This window comes from Homo sapiens, chromosome 6, assembly GCF_000001405.40.
Source record: "Homo sapiens chromosome 6, GRCh38.p14 Primary Assembly".
NCBI lineage: Eukaryota > Metazoa > Chordata > Mammalia > Primates > Hominidae > Homo > Homo sapiens.
Window position 1 is genome coordinate 15,507,261 of NC_000006.12, and position 17,464 is coordinate 15,524,724.

Below are 17,464 nucleotides of genomic sequence, written 5' to 3' on the forward strand. Positions count from 1 at the left end.
TGGGATTCTCTCGTCCAGGTTCTTGGGGATGTGACTGCATCCTTTCCCCGCCAGTTTGTAACGTCCCTCGTCTTCCCCTTTGCAGGCATGGATGGAACCTCACCGTCCTCCCCAATAACACAGGGTCCATCCTGCGTCACCTCGGTGCTGTGCCTGGTAAGCCTGACTGTGGCCGCCTGCCTGTGGCAGCTGTGTCCATGAGTCCTACTTGCTGAGAACCAGGGCTGGGAAATCCCTTCTAAGCACTGCCGGGGAGGGATGGCGTCTTCAGGCTTACAGGACATACAGTGAAAATTGATTTTTAGAAAAGAAAGGAGTAACATAATGATTGGTGAAGTCAGTAGAAAAGGTGGAAAGGTGAACCGCATGGCAGAGTCTGGAGCTGGGAGAAGCTTAGGGGCCAACTTTGAACCTTGAAATTGCTGCTTTCAAAGCTGAAGTCACAATTCCTTAAGGCTACTGCAGGCTTGAAATCATGAATTCTCAGGATGGTCAGTAGGCTCGTAAGGGACGGATGGATGCTTTGCAAACTTCAGGGAAAGCCAAGGGGTCATGGAGGTTGTGGTCACCATGAATGTGAAGGCCCAGGCCTTGGCGAAAGTGGCTAGGAACCTGTCCGGGTCCTGGAACCTGACTCATTTCTGAGCTGAGCCAAGGAGCCCTGTGCCCTACTCACCCTGCTCAGAGGCCTTACCAACAAAGGGGCTTTCTTGCTTTCTGCCTCTGGCCCTGATGGGGGTTTTTGGGTTTGGCGCCTCTGGTCCTCAGCCTTGAGGCTTGGGGGCTTCGGCCCGTGGGCGGCCGGTTCCTCGGCATTCCTCACCAGGTCAGGTTCCTGCGGCCACCTCCCTCATGAGGCCGACGTGCTCCTGATGTTTTGAAGCGGTGTTCATATTCTCCCACTTCTGTAGAGCAAGCAGGAAAGAGTAGGTACCTTCTGCTCACTGTCTTTTGTCTGGCTTTGAGTCCCATTTCTTTTCCTTCTTGTTTTAGCGGAAGAAAGAGATTTTTACTTACTGTTCCTTTGAGACCTTGTTGCCTAGCTTTTAAAAATGCCCTTTTCACTCTTTCTGTTTTAGGAGTGACTATTCCCTGGCTAAATATTGGCATGGTCTTTTCTACCTCATGCTGGTCTCGAGACCAAAATCACCTTCCATACATTGACTACTTACACACTGGTGCTGACTGCATTTGGTGAGTACTGGCCCCAGGCGGGAAGGGAGGGACTGCAGAAACTACTATTACCACATGAAGTGGGGCCTGTGGGTAACTTCTTGTCCAGGTGGTTCCACGTGCTTGAGAACTTGCTTCTCTGTGTTCAGGCCTGTCCTGCGTTCCCTGCCGAAGCCTGGGCCTGGGATCACCTACCTCTGTTGGAAGAGTTGGGGTGCTGGAGAATGTTGTAACACTGTCTGATGATGAGCAAATCTTTTCATATGCTTAGTGGCCATTTAAGTTCCCCTTAGTTCCTTAAGTTCCCTTAAGAATTACCTACTTACGTCTGTTTTTGTTTTGTTTTGTTTCGTTTTGTTTTGTTATGGATTAGTCACTTTTTCTTGTGGATTTCCAAGAGTTATTTTCACCTTAGGGTTAAGGAACAGTAGTAAAAGTGCCACACAAAGCTAACCAGTAGTAGTGACCGTGTCATCAGCCCTCTAGTAACTGAATATAAACCGTGGTATTTCATGATTGGTTATTTTCAGCCTCTCTGTAGAGCCAGTGTTTCCTCATCTATCGGTGGCTGTGGGGAGTAGAGTTGACTTGGGAATCTCGTTCCTGCCATGTGGAGACACGCGCGTTATGTACCCTGTGGAGTCTGTTGCCTGGCGAGGTGTTCTGGGTCCCCGCCTGTAATCTGACTCTCACTGTAGCCATCCCTGATTGAGGCTGGGTCCCCGCCTGTAATCCTGACTCTCACTGCACCCATCCCTGATCGAGGCTGGACTCTTTGGTGTCTTTGTTTACGGCGGCAGATGGGAAATGACTACAAATAATCAGATGTCTTGTCGTCTGATCGTTTACCGGCATGCTGTTCATGCCATGCTGACTGTGTTTATTGCCCTAATGGGGTGATTAAACATTCTTTATTAAAATAAACAAAGTCTTAGGACTCGTGTTCTCCCTCTTTGGAGCCAGCGTCGGCTGCAGCCTCCTCATTTTGGCTGTTCTGGTGAGTGGTGCTGTGGACATGAGGGAGCCCTCCCTTCCCACATGGGTCTGTGTGCCATGGACGGTGATCATGGTGTCCTGCAGTGGGTCCAGAGTGATGGGCCCGGGAAGCCCAGGCTGTTGCCTGTGGAGCGGGGACTGACAGGAGCCTTGGGGCTTAGCCGGGCCAGGCCACCAGCTGGGGAGGGGACAGCCAGGACTATTCCGAGAGGTGCCTTTGCCTCCGGAAGAAGAGCGTGGCCATTTCCTGTGGAGGAGTTACACTGGCTGTGGCATGGCCTGTGTTCTGGGGTCATCCCCAGGCCAGTGACCTCAGGCCCGAGTTTCTTCCGTGTGGGTTTGCTTATGGCTTGACGTTGAGTCACAGATAGCAAAATGTGATACCCTGTGTGGGCTTTTTGAAGACTCACTCCTGGAACCTCATTGACAGGAGAGAAAGAAAAGGCAGGGATAGGATCAGAGAACATGATGGTGTGTAGTTTTTCTTAAAACATGTGATTTAGGTTAGAAACCCTGTATTTAAATTACCAATCAGTAACAGAATATGTTGGCATTGAAAATAACATGAGCATTAAAAAAAATACTTCCTTCACTGAGCAACTGAAACCAGGATTTGGCCTCAGAGAGAAATGCTTTCATCACAGACACATAGGGGCTGCAGAGTTGCTGCCCGCCTGGACCTGGGGGGCGGGGGCTGTGGGGAGGGGCTGGCGGTGTTGCCCTGAGCTGCTGGCCCACATCTTTGTGTTTAATGGTGGTTGATGGCTTCACTGGCTTAGCATCCTGAAGACCTGTCAGGCCCCTCTCCACACTGATGTCCTCCTCTTGCCTGGGGAGGAGCCCCTCAGACAGCCTGAGACACCCAGGGGCAGGGCAGCCATCCCTGCACCCCTGCCTTGCGGGGGGCCTCCCCTCACATCCCCCTCATTCATGCTGTGAGCCTGACACCAGGGGCGTCACACGTTGTGAGTGGAAGTGTGGCCCTGGTGGGCTCCAAGGACATGGGCAAAACCTCCTCCCCTCCCTGTGATTGCCGTGAGGAGGCCGTGTAGGTTACTTTCTACCTGTACCTCCCACCTTTTCTTACACTTGAGGACCCCTGCCATGGTTATACCCTGGAGGGTCTGTGAGCCACCACTTCCCCAGGCCACCCTCTGACAGAGGCCTATGAGCCCTTGATCCTCCTGTGTGTCTTGCTGTATGTGCCTGATGCCGGGTAGGCTGGGTCCTAACACGTAAAACTCTCCAGTGGGGAGCAGAGCTGGGGGCCCCTAGCTATCCCCTGACCCCTACTTCACCACAGCATCTGCCAAGGAGTTGGCCTTGAGGTGGCACATGTGCATGAGCCTGGCTCCTTCCCCAACTCTCTGTGCATTTGTAGAGGGCAGGGTTTACTGTTCCTGTCTGGAGGGCCGAGGGAGCCACGTATTCCTTGTGAGGACATTATCAGGTGCTGCTCCTGCAGTGGCCTCTGTTAACAGAAGGAGGGTGCAGTGCTGGAGCCTCAGAAGAGGCTCGTGGAGGCCGCAGTGTGTCTGGTTCTGATTTCTAGGGGTTTGTGAACATCTGTTTGTGGTTTGAAGGCTTTTTGGCTCACCAGGTGGGTCAGATCTCCATAAAAGATGAGCATCTCGCAACGCGGATGCACTGTGGTTTGGCTGTGTGCTAGGTGGACGTGGCACTGCTGCCATGGGAAATGGGAGCCAGCAGTGACCAGGCACCCAGCCAGGCCAGTGCGCCATCCCTGCCGGCGTGGAGCAGAGCCTCTCGTGTGCTCGGGTCCCTGAGGGTGACGGGGGTGGCCCAGTACATGCAGGAGGCCCTTGTCAAGTCTCTGCTTGTCTCTTGTGTCTCTCAATGACCCAGGTATTGCATTCCTGCTGAGGAGGAGAACAAGCTGGAAGATGTGGTCCACACCCTGCTGCAAGCCAATGGCACCCCAGGGCTGCAGATGCTGGAAAGCAACGTCATGGTGCGTCCACTCAGCCACCGCCTCCAGCAGGAGCTGTAGGACCTCCTAGGCACTTGAACATGGTTTCCCATGAACCCGCCTTTCAAAGGCAATGAGGACACAGCAAAACAAATCCCCAGGGTGCAAAGGGAAAGGTCCTCTGACACAAAAGCCAAACTGACCTTCCATCAGATTGCACAGGGCGCTGGGGTTTTGCACGGCCTTTGCATCTGTTTTGGGGCTTGTTTGTGTTGTGGGCTGCTGTGGGCCCTGGGATTTCTTGTGCCCGCCGCTCCTACCTTCTGGGCATGTGAGAGGAATGAGCACAAAGGCTTCTTCACCTGTTTTCAGGAAGTCATGGGGCTGGTGAGTTCCTGGGAAGTGCTGCTTTGAGCTGAGTTCTGACCAGCTTCTCTGGCCTCTGCTGACCCTGCCGGTCCCGCCTGTCCATCTTAGAGAAGAGATGGACGGGGGACTCCTTTGTAAGCCCAGCCTGTGGGCCTGTGGCCTACTTGGCTCTGGAGATGAGCCCGGCAGCCTCCTGGTTGTGTAACCTTGTCCTGTTTCCAGCCCTGGCATTGCCACGTGGGGACAGAGGGGCCTGTGTGGTCATCATGTCCTCAGCTGTGCATGAACCTGTCATCACTCTTGGACCAGTGCAGTTTAGAAGCTCCTTCTTGTGTTATGAATGACGTCTTTTTATTTTCCACATAAAACAATCTTATCTCCTTGAGAGCAGGCCTCTTAGGGTGCGCATACGTCACCTGAAGACTGCAGGTGTCCCTGCGCACAGGGAGGGGTGCCTCAGCCTGGCCCTGTCTCCCCAGATCTCCCCGGAGGTGCTGTGCAAAGAGGGGATCAAGGTGCACAGGACCGTGCAGCAGAGTGGCCAGTTTGTCGTCTGCTTCCCGGGATCCTTTGTGTCCAAAGTGTGCTGTGGGTACAGCGTGTCTGAAACCGTGCACTTTGCTACCACCCAGTGGACAAGTATGGGCTTTGAGACCGCCAAGGTGAGCAGAGCCGGCCTCCTCCCGCTTGCTGCCCCCGCATCCCTGTGAGTGCCGTGCGTGAGCGCACACAGAAGCATCCCTGCGTGTGCGTGTCTATTTGTCAATAGTTCCTTTTGGAATATGTCTTTGAAATTCTTAAGACGTGGTTGAAAGGTCTTCTAGGAATGAAAAGTTGTTAGGGATTTGTTTGTATCACAAAGAGTTTTGATCAGACCGTTACTGACAGACCCCTCCAGTATTGGAAAACTGTTGAAGATGCTCAAGGTAATTGCTTAGAATGGACAGAGAACCTCCACCCATCGTGAGGGAGTGGCAGCTGCCTCTGGGTAGCGGCGAAGTGCTATGACTTTTCCTGGTATGTGGTGCCTTTCTCACAGGGAGGCAAAGTTTTGAAGAGTTTTTAATCTAAATGCAATTCAAGATTTAGAAATTCAGACAGCCTGCCTGCCCCCTCCACCAAGAAGAACCTTGACAGCTGCCTAGTAATGAAAATCCACCCTAAAGGGATGTGACTCCTCTTTCAGGAAATGAAGCGTCGCCATATAGCTAAGCCATTCTCCATGGAGAAGTTACTCTACCAGATTGCACAAGCAGAAGCAAAAAAAGAAAACGGTCCCACTCTCAGTACCATCTCAGCCCTCCTGGATGAGCTCAGGTAACAGACCCCCAGAGCCCACGCCAGAGAGCTGGACCCGGCTGCCCTTCGGGGGCTCACCCCCCGAGCAGGCCTCACTTCCTGACAGGAGGGTGTGTCTGCAGGGAGGCCGGTGTGGGGTGCGTGTGTCCCCTCTGCTGGTGAGCATGGCAGGCCGTCACTAAAGGTGCGGGCCGTCTCCCGTGTCTGGCAGGGATACAGAGCTGCGGCAGCGCAGGCAGCTGTTCGAGGCTGGCCTCCACTCCTCCGCACGCTATGGCAGCCACGATGGCAGCAGCACGGTGGCGGACGGGAAGAAAAAGCCTCGAAAGTGGCTGCAGTTGGAGACGTCAGAGAGGAGGTGTCAGATCTGCCAGCACCTGTGCTACCTGTCCATGGTGAGCCCGCCTGGCCCTGCCGGCGCCCTCGCATGTAGTGCTTGGCCTGAGAGCTCCGGGGTTGCCCCCAGAAGAGGGAGGGCGCTCTCTGCCCAGGAGACCTGCTGTGCTCCCATCTCTGGAGCCGGCTGTGGGACCTCGGCGGAGCTTCTGGCCGCCGGAGGTGGCTGCCTCACCCACAGTGACCAGGCCACACAGAGGCTGTCCCTCTGTTCTGCCCACGCGTGGCCCTCCCTCGGTCCTGCAGTGCGTCCTTCCTCCCTGGGGAGCAGGTGGCCTCCCTCTCCGCCCTACTTTGTCACTCCAGCCCCCACGCACTCTGCTCTTACCCATTCTTTCTGAGGCAGTGAGGGGCGGGTTTCCAGTACTGGGCAGCGTCTGCCATTCCCTGTGGCCTGTGCCTGGTGCACCTGGGCCCATGGCCTCTGCCCTTTGGCTCTGTTCTTGGTTTCCTGGTCCTGCTCAGCTACATGATCTGCCTCAGCCCCCGAGGACTTCAGAATCTATCCTTGGTGAAAGCTGATGTTCCTCCTGTCCCATCTGGGATCAGAGATGCTTTTCTGGCACAGCCACTCCAGGCCACAGCAGGCTGCATTCCTCTTGCCTTCTCGACTGTGCCCTGCTGGCTTCCTCGTGCCCACCTGCCTGCCTCAGCTTTGGGGTTAATACCAAACACCTCCTCCCCCTGCTCACCCCTGTTCCAGCCCAGAGGTGGGCTCAGAAAAGCCCTTCCATGGCGACTGGATGGCTGTGGCCTCGCCATGCTTCTTCCAGTCTCCCCTTGACCTCTCACCAGAGAGCTGCCCTGACACACTCTGGGTAGGGACGCCCAGCTGGCACTGCAGATGGCTCCACAGCACTACACACCTTAGCCTGGAACAGAGAGCATGCCCGAAGGGCCTGACCTGCCTCCCCGGGCCTCGTCCCTTTCCACAGTGCCTCACATCTCCAGTACAGAAGCCTAGCTTAGGAGGTGCCCACCCCATATGCTGTGTGGTGCCTGTGTCCCACAGGTGCCCCCTTCGGCTGCACACTCGCTGAGAGGCCAGTGCCTCTGCGTCCCTCTGCTTGTCCATGGTGGGCCAGGACTGAGACCCGGGTCGACTCTCCTTGGCCTCCCAGTGTGACTGTGTCATGCCGTCTCACCCCGAGTCCTGGCGTGCCCTGTAGAAGAGGGAGGACACAGCCTCTCCCGGATGAGTCAGATCGTCAGATCGTCAGATCAGGGCTTTGTAACATTTGAAAGAGCTAAAAACTCGGTGTGTCCTCATCTCCTCCTTACCTAAGGACGCAAATCACATTGTATCAGATAGGCCCACCCTCATGGCCTCATTTGAGCTGATTTACCTCTTTAGAGGCCCTACCCCCAACTGCAGTCACAGCTGAGATCCTGGAGGTTCAACGTTTGCATTTGATGGGGGACAAATGCAGTCCGTGACCGCCCTGCCTCCTGTCCTGTAGATTTCCTTCTGTCTGGTTTTTTCCCCCAGACTTCTCAAAATGTATTACCTAGAGCCATTTGGTTCTTAAAAGAAAATGATGATAAGCATTTTCCCAGATCTTCAAAGTATCTTATAAACATCACTGATAAAAGCTGCATAGCTTGGTGTGCTCTCTCTCTGTTCTTTTTTTTTTTTGTTTGTTTGAGACAGTCTTGCTCTGTTGCCTAGGATGGAATGCGTGCTGTGATCCTGTCTCACTGTAGCCTCAACCTCCTGGTCATCCTCCCACCTCAGCCTCCTGAGTAGCTGGGACAGCAGGTGTACCACCACGCCTGGTTAACTTTTTTTTTTTTTGTGGTAGAGATGGGGTTTTGCTGTTACCCATAGGCTGCCTACTTCAGCCTCCCAGAGCCCCAGGATTATAGGCATGGGCCACTGCGCCCAGCTGTCCATCCTCTTGCTGGAACACGCTATTCATTTCCATGCACTGAGGGCTGTATGGTAGTTACACCTGGGGGTGAAGCTGGTCTGTCCCTGTGAGGTGGCACCAGGTGGCCTCATTTTCAAGCCATCCTTCAGAAACTTCAGAGTTGTCACCTGGCATTTCCTGTCAGCCTGAAAGTTATTTTAAGAAGAATGTATTGTGAGGCCGGGCATGGTAGGCCAATCCCAGTGCTTCGGGAGGCAATGGTGGGCAGATCACTCGAGGCCAGGAGTGCGAGACCAGCCTGGGTGACAGAGGGAGACTAATCTCTACAAAAAATACAAAAAATTAACTGGGTGTGGTGGCGGGGGTATCACTTGAGCCCAGAAGTTCAAGGCTACAGTGAGCCATGATCACACCACTGTACTCCAGCCTGGGTGACAGAGTGACAACCTGTCTCTTTAAAAAAAAAAAACAAAAACAAAAACCAGGCACGGTGGCTTATGCTTGTAATCCCAGCACTTTGGGAGGCTGAGGCGGGCCAATCACAGCCTGGCCAACATGGTGAAACACCATCTCTACTAAAAATAGAAAAAATTAGCCGTGCATGATGTTGAGCGCCTGTAGTCCCAGCTACTCGGGAGGTGGAGGTTGCAGTGAGCCGAGATCGCGCCATCGCCCAGGTGACAGTGCGAGACTCCATCTCAAAAAAAAAAAAAAAACCCGTTATAAATCCATAGGCAAAAATTGGGGTTTGACTTATACGTTGACAGTTTGCATTGCTTGGATTACTAATACATTTGTGAATTTAAATTTGATGTGTTTCCTGTTCTTCCTGTCCTTGGCCCCGTGTCTCTCCAAGGTCTTGTTTCTGTCAGTAGGTGGCATTCCCACACTCCTACAACGTGTTCTCTGTTCCTTGCTTAGAAACACCGCAGACGAAAACAAGTCCTTCCCCTCAAGCTTTCTGAGAAAGGCCTATGACTCTTCTCCTCTTGAGTGTTAAGACTGAATTTTTCCTTATTTTCAAACTCAGAATTAGAATAGGACTTGGAGTCAGCGTGAAGTATGGGAGCCCTCCGGCAGAAGCCAGGTGGCTGTTTCCTTTCATCCGGCCCCTCTCAACCCTAGACAGGCCCCCAGTGAGGGTCTCTGTCCCAGCACTCTCCTGTGGCCTCAGGCAGCAGGGTGTCCACTGGCGGGACAGCTGTGGGCTTTGTGGACAGCCCGCCCAAGGGGGCCGGGGCTGGTGGGTGAGGTCATCGGCGTCACAGCGGTCAGGAATCTGTGATGTTGAGGGTTTTGGGGGAGTTTGCATGGGGTCGTTGGACGCCGCTTGCTCTGTTGACTGTGAGCCACTCATGGACCACCATGAGAACCTGTTTTGCTGCTGGAAAGTCAAGGGTGCGTTCCCCGGGTGGCCGCCTAAGTTGGAGTCCTCCATGTTCCACATCTATTCCAGCACTAGGGTGGTTTCAAACACAGGATCTCAGGAGCCCTCAGAACTCAAGAGATGAGAAATACGCACCCCTCACTGTCTTTAGCAGCCTGGTGGTGACTGAACCTCTCCCAGGAAACTCCAGCAGAAATCTGGAGGGGACTTGAGGGCCACTCCCAGGTCTAACTCAGAGGTGGTCAGTTACTCACCTTCCTAGTTGAAGACCATGTTCCAGGTGTTTGGTCAGTTTTCGTTTTAGTCCATTTCCAGCATTTCCAGTCCTCAAAGCCCTTGGCCCGGGTGGTGGGTGCTGGGGCTACTCTGGCGCGGGCAGTGGGTGTGGTGGCTGCCCGGCCGGGCGTGCTCCTACCTTACCCTCCCAGGGCGCTGTGGAGCTGCCTCCTGACCTTCGGGTGTCCTGCTCTTGCTTGCAGGTGGTACAAGAGAACGAAAACGTCGTGTTCTGTCTGGAGTGTGCTCTGCGCCACGTGGAGAAACAGAAGTCCTGCCGAGGGCTGAAGTTGATGTACCGCTACGATGAGGTCAGTCCCTGCCCGCGGGGTAGGGCAGGGCGGCAGCGTGGCGCCTTCCCTGCTCCCGGCTGGATGTAGGCACTCCGGCCTGGCAGTTCTGTGCCTGGCGGGTAGTCAGGGCTCTGCAGGCCTGAGGTGCCCTGTTCTTAGGCCCTAAACCCATTCAGGCCCCATGTTAGGATCCCAGGGGGAGCGGGGTTCCTGCACGGGCATTTGGATTTGAGCAATGGGCTCTTAACAGGGCTGAGGCTCTTCCTGCAGCCGCCCCCCCGGCTTTCCCAAGGGCTGCACCACTGTGGTTTAGACCCAGACCCTTTTTTGTGACCTGTCCCAGGCACAGTGGGATGGTTGGCAGTGGCCTCTCCAATCTGCACTAACTTGACACCAGCCCCTTCAGGCTGAGAGAGCTGGAAGTGTCTGCGGACACTGGGGCAGGACGGGCCCCATGATGTGAAATCCCGGTGCCTTCCTGCAGGTGCCACGCTCTTCTGGAGAGGGGGGTCATAACAACACACAGCCTGTGCAGCTGGGGGCCGCTCTGAGTGGCGGAACTCCTGGCAGCAGTGCCTCTCCCCTGCTCTGCCCGCCTTCCCCACGTGTGCTTCCCACAGACTCTGATGAGGCTGGTTACGAGGAAGGTCGCCACATTGTGGTCATTGCACATTTGAGGCCACTGAGTGGGGTGGGTGCTGCGGGTATGACTGTGAGGGGCCTGGTGTGTCTGGGGGCCCAGGCAGTGGGGCCAAGTGGTGGGTCTCACTGGATAAGCCTTGAGCTAAATGATCGGAGAGCTGGAAGAAGAACTCTTTGCATCTGTTTTGTTTCAAAGAGCATGCTGGGTGAAGGCAGTAAGCACCTGCTGTGTCCCTCCTTCACCTTAGCAGCAAATGTCCAGGCACAGTTGCAAATAACGAAGCCTTTGCGGCTGAGCACGAGCATGGCTCTGGCACCTTGTGGGGGTGCAGGCGGCGGCACGGGGAGGCTTCCTCTGGCTGCCTGGAAAGCGCTCTGTGAATCATGGGTTGTACCTCTCACCAGCAGCCTGTTTCTGTAGTCGGATGTGTGACGTGACCAGATCCTGGGAAAAGAATGGCATTCAGGGGCTGTCTGAGACCTAATGGTTGGTTTTGATGAATTAGGAGCAAAGGTATTTGGAAACTGCATACTCTGTAGTGGCTGAGTAGTTCAGTAAGCATGTCTGTGCCTCTGTCCCCTGTTGAGCTGTGCATTTTTTTGTTTTTAAGACGGAGTCTCGCTCTGTCGCCAGGCTGGAGTGCAGTGGCGTGATCTCGGCCCACTGCAAGCTCCGCCTCCCAGGTTCACGCCATTCTCCTGCTTCAGTTTCTGGAGTAGCTGGGATTACAGGTGCCCGCCACTACGCACCCGGCTAATTTTTCTTTTTAGTAGAGACAGGGTTTTACCATGTTGGTCAGGCTGGTCTCAAACTCCTGACCTCAGGTGATCAGCTTGCTTCAGCCTCCCAAAGTGCTGGGATTACAGGCGTGAGCCACCACACCTGGCCCATTCTTTTAAATAGGAAATTTCTACCTTGTAAACAGAGACCATTGCAAAATCTTCTCAACCTCCCAGTGTGCCCAGTACACAAATCACCCATGTCTGGGCCTGCTGACCCGGGACAGTCTGCTTTAAACACCCACCCTTGCTGGGGTGGGGGGTGCACCTAGATTGCAAATCCCTGAATTCATGGCTTGGGTTCTCATGGATGGTGAAGCTCTCTGGGGAGTTTGGAGCCATTTGTGTCTCTGGCCCTTGCAGGCTGGCTGAGCAGGGTGTTGGGCCGCCTGCCGCCGAGCCTAGTGTGAGAGCACTGGTCTGGGGCAGGTGCTGCCCACCTGTCGAGCTGCACGCAGGGGAGGGAACGGTGTCCTCCTGTAACCGCACACTGCCGCTCCTCCTCACTTGTCCTTATGGTAAGGTAGCAGTAGCCGCCTAAATGGGTTTTATGGCAGCTCATCCACTTATCCTTTATCAGTGTTTATCATCAGTACCTCAAGCAGCCATGACTATGGTGTTATTACAGATACGTGTGGACCGCCCCGCCTTCCGAAGGCACCTTTAACTTGTGATGGGAGCCAGCTGTCACTTTCTCACCCTCATCTTGAGGGCTTTTCAGAGGACTAGAGATCAGGCCCTCAGATGTTTCATTCCATGGCTGGCTTCCTCTCCTGCCAGGGTCAGCATGGTTCCCAGCCACCCGTGGCCCAGAGAGATGCTCATAAGATGCACGTTTGCTACTCCTCCCCATGTTGTTTTTAAAAATGATATGATTATAGGATGTACTGTGTGAAAGTTACAAACACAGTTTTTGGTGCCGACAGATAAATGATTCTCTTGAGTGAATTACAAGGATATGTATAGGTTGAGAAGTGTTTGCATTTACTTGCATGGCCAGGTTCAGTGGCCGGTAGCTAAAGTGAGTCAAGTAGCTTGGGTATTTGTGTCACCATCCAGGATGTAACAAAGCCCCTGGGTCTCTTTGCTGAGTGCTCCGTGGTAGAGGCAGTGCTCTGGGCTCCCCTGCCAGCCCTGCCCTTATGAGCAGGCAAAGCATGGTGGACCAGGGTGTTGATGAGGATGAAACGGCCATGCCTGCTATGTGGCATCAGGAGGAGCTGGGAAAGGGAGACTCACTGCATCTGAGCCTCTCGGGGTTATTTTAAAACCTGTTGGTTGGTGTGGTGAAGGGGACCGCTGCCCTCTGCCCTAAACTTGCCCCTGCATGGCTCTCAGGGACAGAGCTCTTGTTAATACGGTATGTTAACTGTGTCTTCCTTTCACCCCCAAACAGGAACAGATTATCAGTCTGGTCAATCAGATCTGCGGCAAAGTGTCTGGTAAAAACGGCAGCATTGAGAACTGTCTCAGTAAACCCACACCAAAAAGAGGTCCCCGCAAGAGAGCGACAGTGGACGTGCCCCCCTCCCGTCTGTCAGCCTCCAGTTCATCCAAAAGTGCTTCGAGCTCATCATGAAGATGCCAACGCCCGTGGTCGATTTATATATATTTTTTTGTAATTATTATATTCTAGTTTGGAGTACTTGCTGTAGGATTCAAGCTGTCTTTGCACTAGCTCTAAAGAAGATTTTCTTCTGGTTTTAGAGAACTAATTTTGTTTTAGCATTAAACTGTTGAACTTTTTTTTGTACTTAGAAAACCTAGATACTGCAGTCAGATTTTGGAAACTGCCGTATAGTCACTGTTTTAAAAACCCCGGAGGGGCTGTATTAATTTGTATTGCCCCATGGCTGACAAAAGCCTTTTTTTTTGGTTTTGATTTTTTTTTTTTTGTAACTGTTGGGGGGAAAAAGGCTTTTTAACCCATTTTTGAAGAGGGTGAAGTTTGGAGAACAAATTTAAAAACCATCAGTCATGTGAGCAGATTTTTTAGAAGGGATAGGAGACACACGCGCACACACACACACACACGAAACTTGAAATGGCTTTGCTTTGGCTGTCGTCTTCTGCCGTGTGCCAGATGAGCTTGTGATCTGGGAAGCCGGGGCACCCCCGTTTTGTTTCTCTGGGCGGTTGTGGCAGCTGAAGGCGGACGTTGTTTCCTAACCATAGGTGGAACGAGGAGACGGGAGCGAGTGGGCTCTCCACCAGCACATCACTATGCATCTGTTCCAGGAAAGAAGAAAAGCGAGCGAGGAAGACGGAAAAGACTGCCTGCCTTGGAGGGGTCACATGAGGGAGACCTGTGCCTGATTTCATTAGGAAATCCATTCTGTTATTTTTTGGTGCTGTTGGCTACTTTATCAAAAAACCCTTCAATAGCATCCTTAAGATTTAAAAAAAAAAAAAAAAAAAAGGAAAAAAAAGTGATGGAAGCCGTAAGTGCTTCTTTGTCATCGACGTGCAATCTTTCTAACATTCCATCTCCATCTCACCGCTTCTTGTTTGACACCTTCACAAGTCAGCATTAATCTTTCTTTTAAAACTTGTTTCATTTATGATCATGTAGAGAGCCACTAGGAGGCCTGCAGTTATTTTTGAATGTGAAAATGCATTTGCGTTCATCTTGTCTATTTTTTCTCTTCATGTTGTAACAAAAAGGAAAAAAGAAAAAAAAATCCCATCCCTTTTGTACATATGCCTGTAAATTGTTTTAAATACTTGAGCCTTTTTCTCGGTGGGGGGTGGGGAGGGGGGTGAGAAGACAAGATGAAGAAAAGCCTTACATTTCAGTTTCTTCATCGGTTGGATTGGATGCTTACAGGGTTTTTCTTGTAACATTTATAAGTGCTGCTTACATCACTGAACAACAACAAAAAAATAATAATGGAGTAGCTGTTGCCCTTCTCCGGTTGTGTGTACAGTATGTGTGGAATAAAAAAGGGAAACTGTTTTCACAAGCTGTTCTTTGTTTCATAATTGGATTCATCAATCCCGTAGCTACCCATATTGCACTGAGCTTGCCAGTGGTGACTGCCAGGAACGTCCTATGATCCACTTTGTTGGTTGTTGTTGCAGAAGACTGAACTGTTTTGGAATATTTAACAATTACAGAAACAGTCAAGTGTTTTCCAATGTGGTTGTCCGGTTTCTATGGCCTTGCTGTGTACTTTCCCTCTTTTTGACAGTAAACTTCTGCCTATGGCTTACAGTTTGACATTTAATTTATTAGCGCTGCTCTGCACCCCTCCCTTGGGAGGGAGACTTCATGTGGTTTATTGCGAGTTTTTTGTTTACTTTTCAGGTTTGTACTACAAGGTTTAATAATAAAAACAAAGTTTTTTGGACATTTGTCTGTCTTGTGGAAGATGACTGAATGGAATGAGCTCTTTCTTTTCTCGTCCACGGGCAGGGGGCAGAGGATTCCCCCCAGCCAGGGAGCAGAGCCACCCCCCACACTGCAGTCCTGCTCCCACCTGCCACTGGGTCCCCTTCAGCCTAACCTAATGGTTTCCATGTGGCCTGCGGCCGTCCCCCTCATTTCCCATCGAGCTGCGCCCCCCTGCTGAGCTTGCTTTCATGATGAGACGACACTGGGTGCATTCAGGGTGGTATGGCTGCAGACAGACAGACCCCCTCATCCCGGCGGGGAGTCTGTCCCCTCTCTCTCATTGGGCTGGAGGAGTGATGGCAGGAACACATCTCCAGGGGACCAGTTTCTTTTCATAAAGAATGGAGGATTGCTTTGGGCTTGTTTCTGTTCTTTTGGGCCCAGGAGTGTGAAAAAGTAGGGGTTGGACTGGCTGGCTACTGGACTAATGATACTTACTTACTTCTGTAATGATCAACGGAAAACCCCAAGCTTTGCCAGAGTGGTTTGGCTACAGTCAGCTCTTCTACAGGAAGTGGCATTTTCCACTTGTGAAACGGTAGGTCATTCCCTGCCTCATGCAGAACTCAGCCCTGTGGAGCCTCCACCACCTGGCCCAGGCCCTGCCCACATGCAACCTCCCGGGGTGGCCCTCAATGACCTGCACGTCCCTTCACTCTAAGGAACCCTGAGTTACAGTGGCCTTAAGGACATGTGTATTTAGAAGCCTTTGTGTACAAACTAGCTCTGTGCGCTCTCAGTTTACCGTCCTCACACTTTATTGTTAGCTGTTCTTTAAGTTTCTCACACATTATTGGCAATTATGTAAAAATCAAGAACCTCTATAAAACAACCTGGCTTTCCAGGTGGAATTCCGCATACAGCCAAAACTGGATTCCAGTGTGGCCAGACAACGCCCATGTCCCAATTTAAGAGTCGCTGTCCTCACCACCATCCGGAGTGGCCTCTCTGTCAGTGTGTGATGTGGCCAGGGCAGTGTCCACCTGAACTTCCTCCTCATCGGACTGAACAACGGGGGACTCCCCACCCTCACTGATGTCCCGGGTGGCCGAGTCGGTGCAGGTGGAGGAAGAAGAAGGTGGCTTGGCTCTTAATTCTGAGGGATTTGGAACCTGGAGGGTAATCTCATTCTGACAGGTACTGGATTCAGGCCCTGCAAAATAACGTAGGGAAGAAAAAGCCCTGTCATAAAAATATTGTGAATCAGAATTGCCGCCAACAGCTGTGGAATGTGCCCGTCATGAAAGGGGGGTGTGGTTTTTGTTCCAGGCACCTGGGGCCTGCAGAACTTGGGAACTGCCCTGGAAGACACTGAGCTGAGCGATGCCAGAGGCAGCCTCAGGCCCTGCGGTGACCCTTCTGTCCCCTAAGGAGTCAGCCACATGTGACACAGATCAAGTGCTCCTAAGGCTGTAATACGCGTGTAATAGAGGCCCAAAGGCAAGTGCTGCCTATCTTTGAGGAGCAGTCCTTGTAACCTTGATAATCTAGATTTCTTTTTTTTTTTTTTACCCTTTGCAGTAATTCAGAGACACCACTGCTGAGAAAGTCGGAATTACTGACCTTCAGCAGTTCTCCAATTTTATGGAACTAAATAGGCTCTTCAAGGAATCAAAATTCTATATGCAGGTGTCACTGTTTCTAAATCTTCCCCTGACTCTGGGTGAGGGTTCACGCTGGTCTCCAGTATTCTGGCCTTCTCAGGATGAGGGCAAATGCACCCAAGCTCCTTCTCTTCCCCAGGATGACACCGTTCTGACAGATTGCCAGGAGAAGCGGGTGAGAAGTTTAGAGGAAGCTGAAACCGTGGTAATGGTAGAACCTTCTACAGATGGCTGAGGTGCTGCTGGGACGACTGAGCTTTGCCTTGACCCAGCCCAAAGAACTGGTCTGAAATTTGAAACGCACCAAGCCCAGGTACAGGTCTGGCACCTCAGCCCATATTTGCTGCATGAATGTGAAACAAAATTTTGTGAAGGGATGAAAGGAACTGAAGTGCAACTAAGTTTACAACACAGGCCAAGAGCTGAACACACACCATGGCTTTGCCCATGGCAGGCACGCCCCTAAATGCCTGTCGCACGAAGAGGGAAGAGTTTCCCGTGAGCCCCGCAGGAGAGTCCGCACCTCCCTGCAAACGCCAGTCCTTAACCACAAGGAGCAGACTCAAATGGATTTCTGGGTGGTAAAGGAGGGAAAACAAACAAGAAAGCTCTCAACTCACCAAAGTTACCGGAGTGGAGCATGTCAAATCTTTGAGAAGAATTCATGACGGAACCACACCACTGTTGCAGCTGCCACACAGCCGTGTGGAACCGTGGGGTTAGGGAGCCAGGAGCTGGCTGTGAGCTTGGGGGTTTATGCGTAAGTGACTGGCAGATGGTTCTCACGTCTCACCTTTGGAGGGGAGTGGCATCGATACTGCCCTGGTTCAGCTAATGCAAGTTTGTCAACCCTACCTAAGGCGGGGGACAGCACAGTGTTCTCTTCTCCTCCAGAGTTCAGGAAGACGTCCAGGGCCTCCTGGTCCGATATGTCCATCAGGTCCATCTGCTCCAGCATGTCCACGTTCACTTCCATGGATGACATGCTGCCTATGGGCTCTGCGGATAGATCAACACGAGAAAGGACACGCTGTCTTTAATATTACTTTAAAAG

The 17,464-nt window shown here is 52.3% G+C and overlaps 2 protein-coding genes across 30 annotated transcripts in view, besides 6 other annotated features; one reads left to right on the forward strand and one right to left on the reverse strand.

The window, feature by feature from the left end:
• The window catches only part of JARID2 (jumonji and AT-rich interaction domain containing 2), a 275,974-nt gene extending 261,192 nt beyond the window's left edge, over positions 1–14,782 (forward strand). For 16 of the 21 annotated variants that reach the window (XM_011514579.4, XM_017010833.3, XM_047418735.1 and 13 more), the window contains 8 exons: positions 86–156; positions 1,080–1,194; positions 4,036–4,141; positions 4,948–5,130; positions 5,655–5,785; positions 5,979–6,162; positions 9,901–10,008; positions 12,809–14,782. In XM_011514579.4, the coding sequence (XP_011512881.1) occupies positions 86–156; positions 1,080–1,194; positions 4,036–4,141; positions 4,948–5,130; positions 5,655–5,785; positions 5,979–6,162; positions 9,901–10,008; positions 12,809–12,991 (1,081 nt within the window). In that variant the 3' untranslated portion in view covers positions 12,992–14,782. Of the gene's footprint in view, positions 1–85; positions 157–1,079; positions 1,195–1,703; positions 2,098–4,035; positions 4,142–4,947; positions 5,131–5,654; positions 5,786–5,978; positions 6,163–9,900; positions 10,009–12,808 lie in introns of those variants that run through there. The other 5 variants (XM_047418744.1, XM_047418745.1, XM_047418746.1 and 2 more) reach the window with 1 other exon arrangement.
• Positions 86–627: an enhancer, noted in NCBI's record as "H3K4me1 hESC enhancer chr6:15507577-15508118 (GRCh37/hg19 assembly coordinates)". NCBI's record gives its function as "activates a minimal SCP1, AML or CMV promoter by ChIP-STARR-seq in primed H9 embryonic stem cells {active_cell/tissue: H9 hESC(primed)}" and the evidence as "EXISTENCE:reporter gene assay evidence [ECO:0000049][PMID:30033119]".
• Positions 628–1,169: an enhancer, noted in NCBI's record as "H3K4me1 hESC enhancer chr6:15508119-15508660 (GRCh37/hg19 assembly coordinates)". NCBI's record gives its function as "activates a minimal SCP1, AML or CMV promoter by ChIP-STARR-seq in primed H9 embryonic stem cells {active_cell/tissue: H9 hESC(primed)}" and the evidence as "EXISTENCE:reporter gene assay evidence [ECO:0000049][PMID:30033119]".
• Positions 1,170–1,711: an enhancer, noted in NCBI's record as "NANOG-H3K4me1 hESC enhancer chr6:15508661-15509202 (GRCh37/hg19 assembly coordinates)". NCBI's record gives its function as "activates a minimal SCP1, AML or CMV promoter by ChIP-STARR-seq in primed H9 embryonic stem cells {active_cell/tissue: H9 hESC(primed)}" and the evidence as "EXISTENCE:reporter gene assay evidence [ECO:0000049][PMID:30033119]".
• Positions 5,531–6,509: an enhancer, noted in NCBI's record as "H3K4me1 hESC enhancer chr6:15513022-15514000 (GRCh37/hg19 assembly coordinates)". NCBI's record gives its function as "activates a minimal SCP1, AML or CMV promoter by ChIP-STARR-seq in naive H9 embryonic stem cells {active_cell/tissue: H9 hESC(naive)}" and the evidence as "EXISTENCE:reporter gene assay evidence [ECO:0000049][PMID:30033119]".
• Positions 10,067–10,567: an enhancer, noted in NCBI's record as "H3K4me1 hESC enhancer chr6:15517558-15518058 (GRCh37/hg19 assembly coordinates)". NCBI's record gives its function as "activates a minimal SCP1, AML or CMV promoter by ChIP-STARR-seq in primed H9 embryonic stem cells {active_cell/tissue: H9 hESC(primed)}" and the evidence as "EXISTENCE:reporter gene assay evidence [ECO:0000049][PMID:30033119]".
• The window catches only part of DTNBP1 (dystrobrevin binding protein 1), a 140,252-nt gene continuing 138,334 nt past the window's right edge, over positions 15,547–17,464 (reverse strand). For 7 of the 9 annotated variants that reach the window (NM_001271669.2, NM_001271668.2, NM_032122.5 and 4 more), the window contains 2 exons: positions 17,266–17,409; positions 15,547–15,959 (listed from right to left, as the gene is read on the reverse strand). In NM_001271669.2, coding sequence (NP_001258598.1) covers positions 15,715–15,959; positions 17,266–17,409 — 389 coding nt within the window. In that variant the 3' untranslated portion in view covers positions 15,547–15,714. Of the gene's footprint in view, positions 15,960–16,302; positions 17,410–17,464 lie in introns of those variants that run through there. The other 2 variants (NM_183040.2, NR_036448.3) reach the window with 2 other exon arrangements.
• Positions 15,774–15,960: a silencer, noted in NCBI's record as "fragment chr6:15523265-15523451 (GRCh37/hg19 assembly coordinates)". NCBI's record gives its function as "represses an EF-1alpha promoter that drives an FKBP-Casp9 reporter gene in an ReSE screen in K562 erythroleukemia cells {active_cell/tissue: K562}" and the evidence as "EXISTENCE:reporter gene assay evidence [ECO:0000049][PMID:32094911]".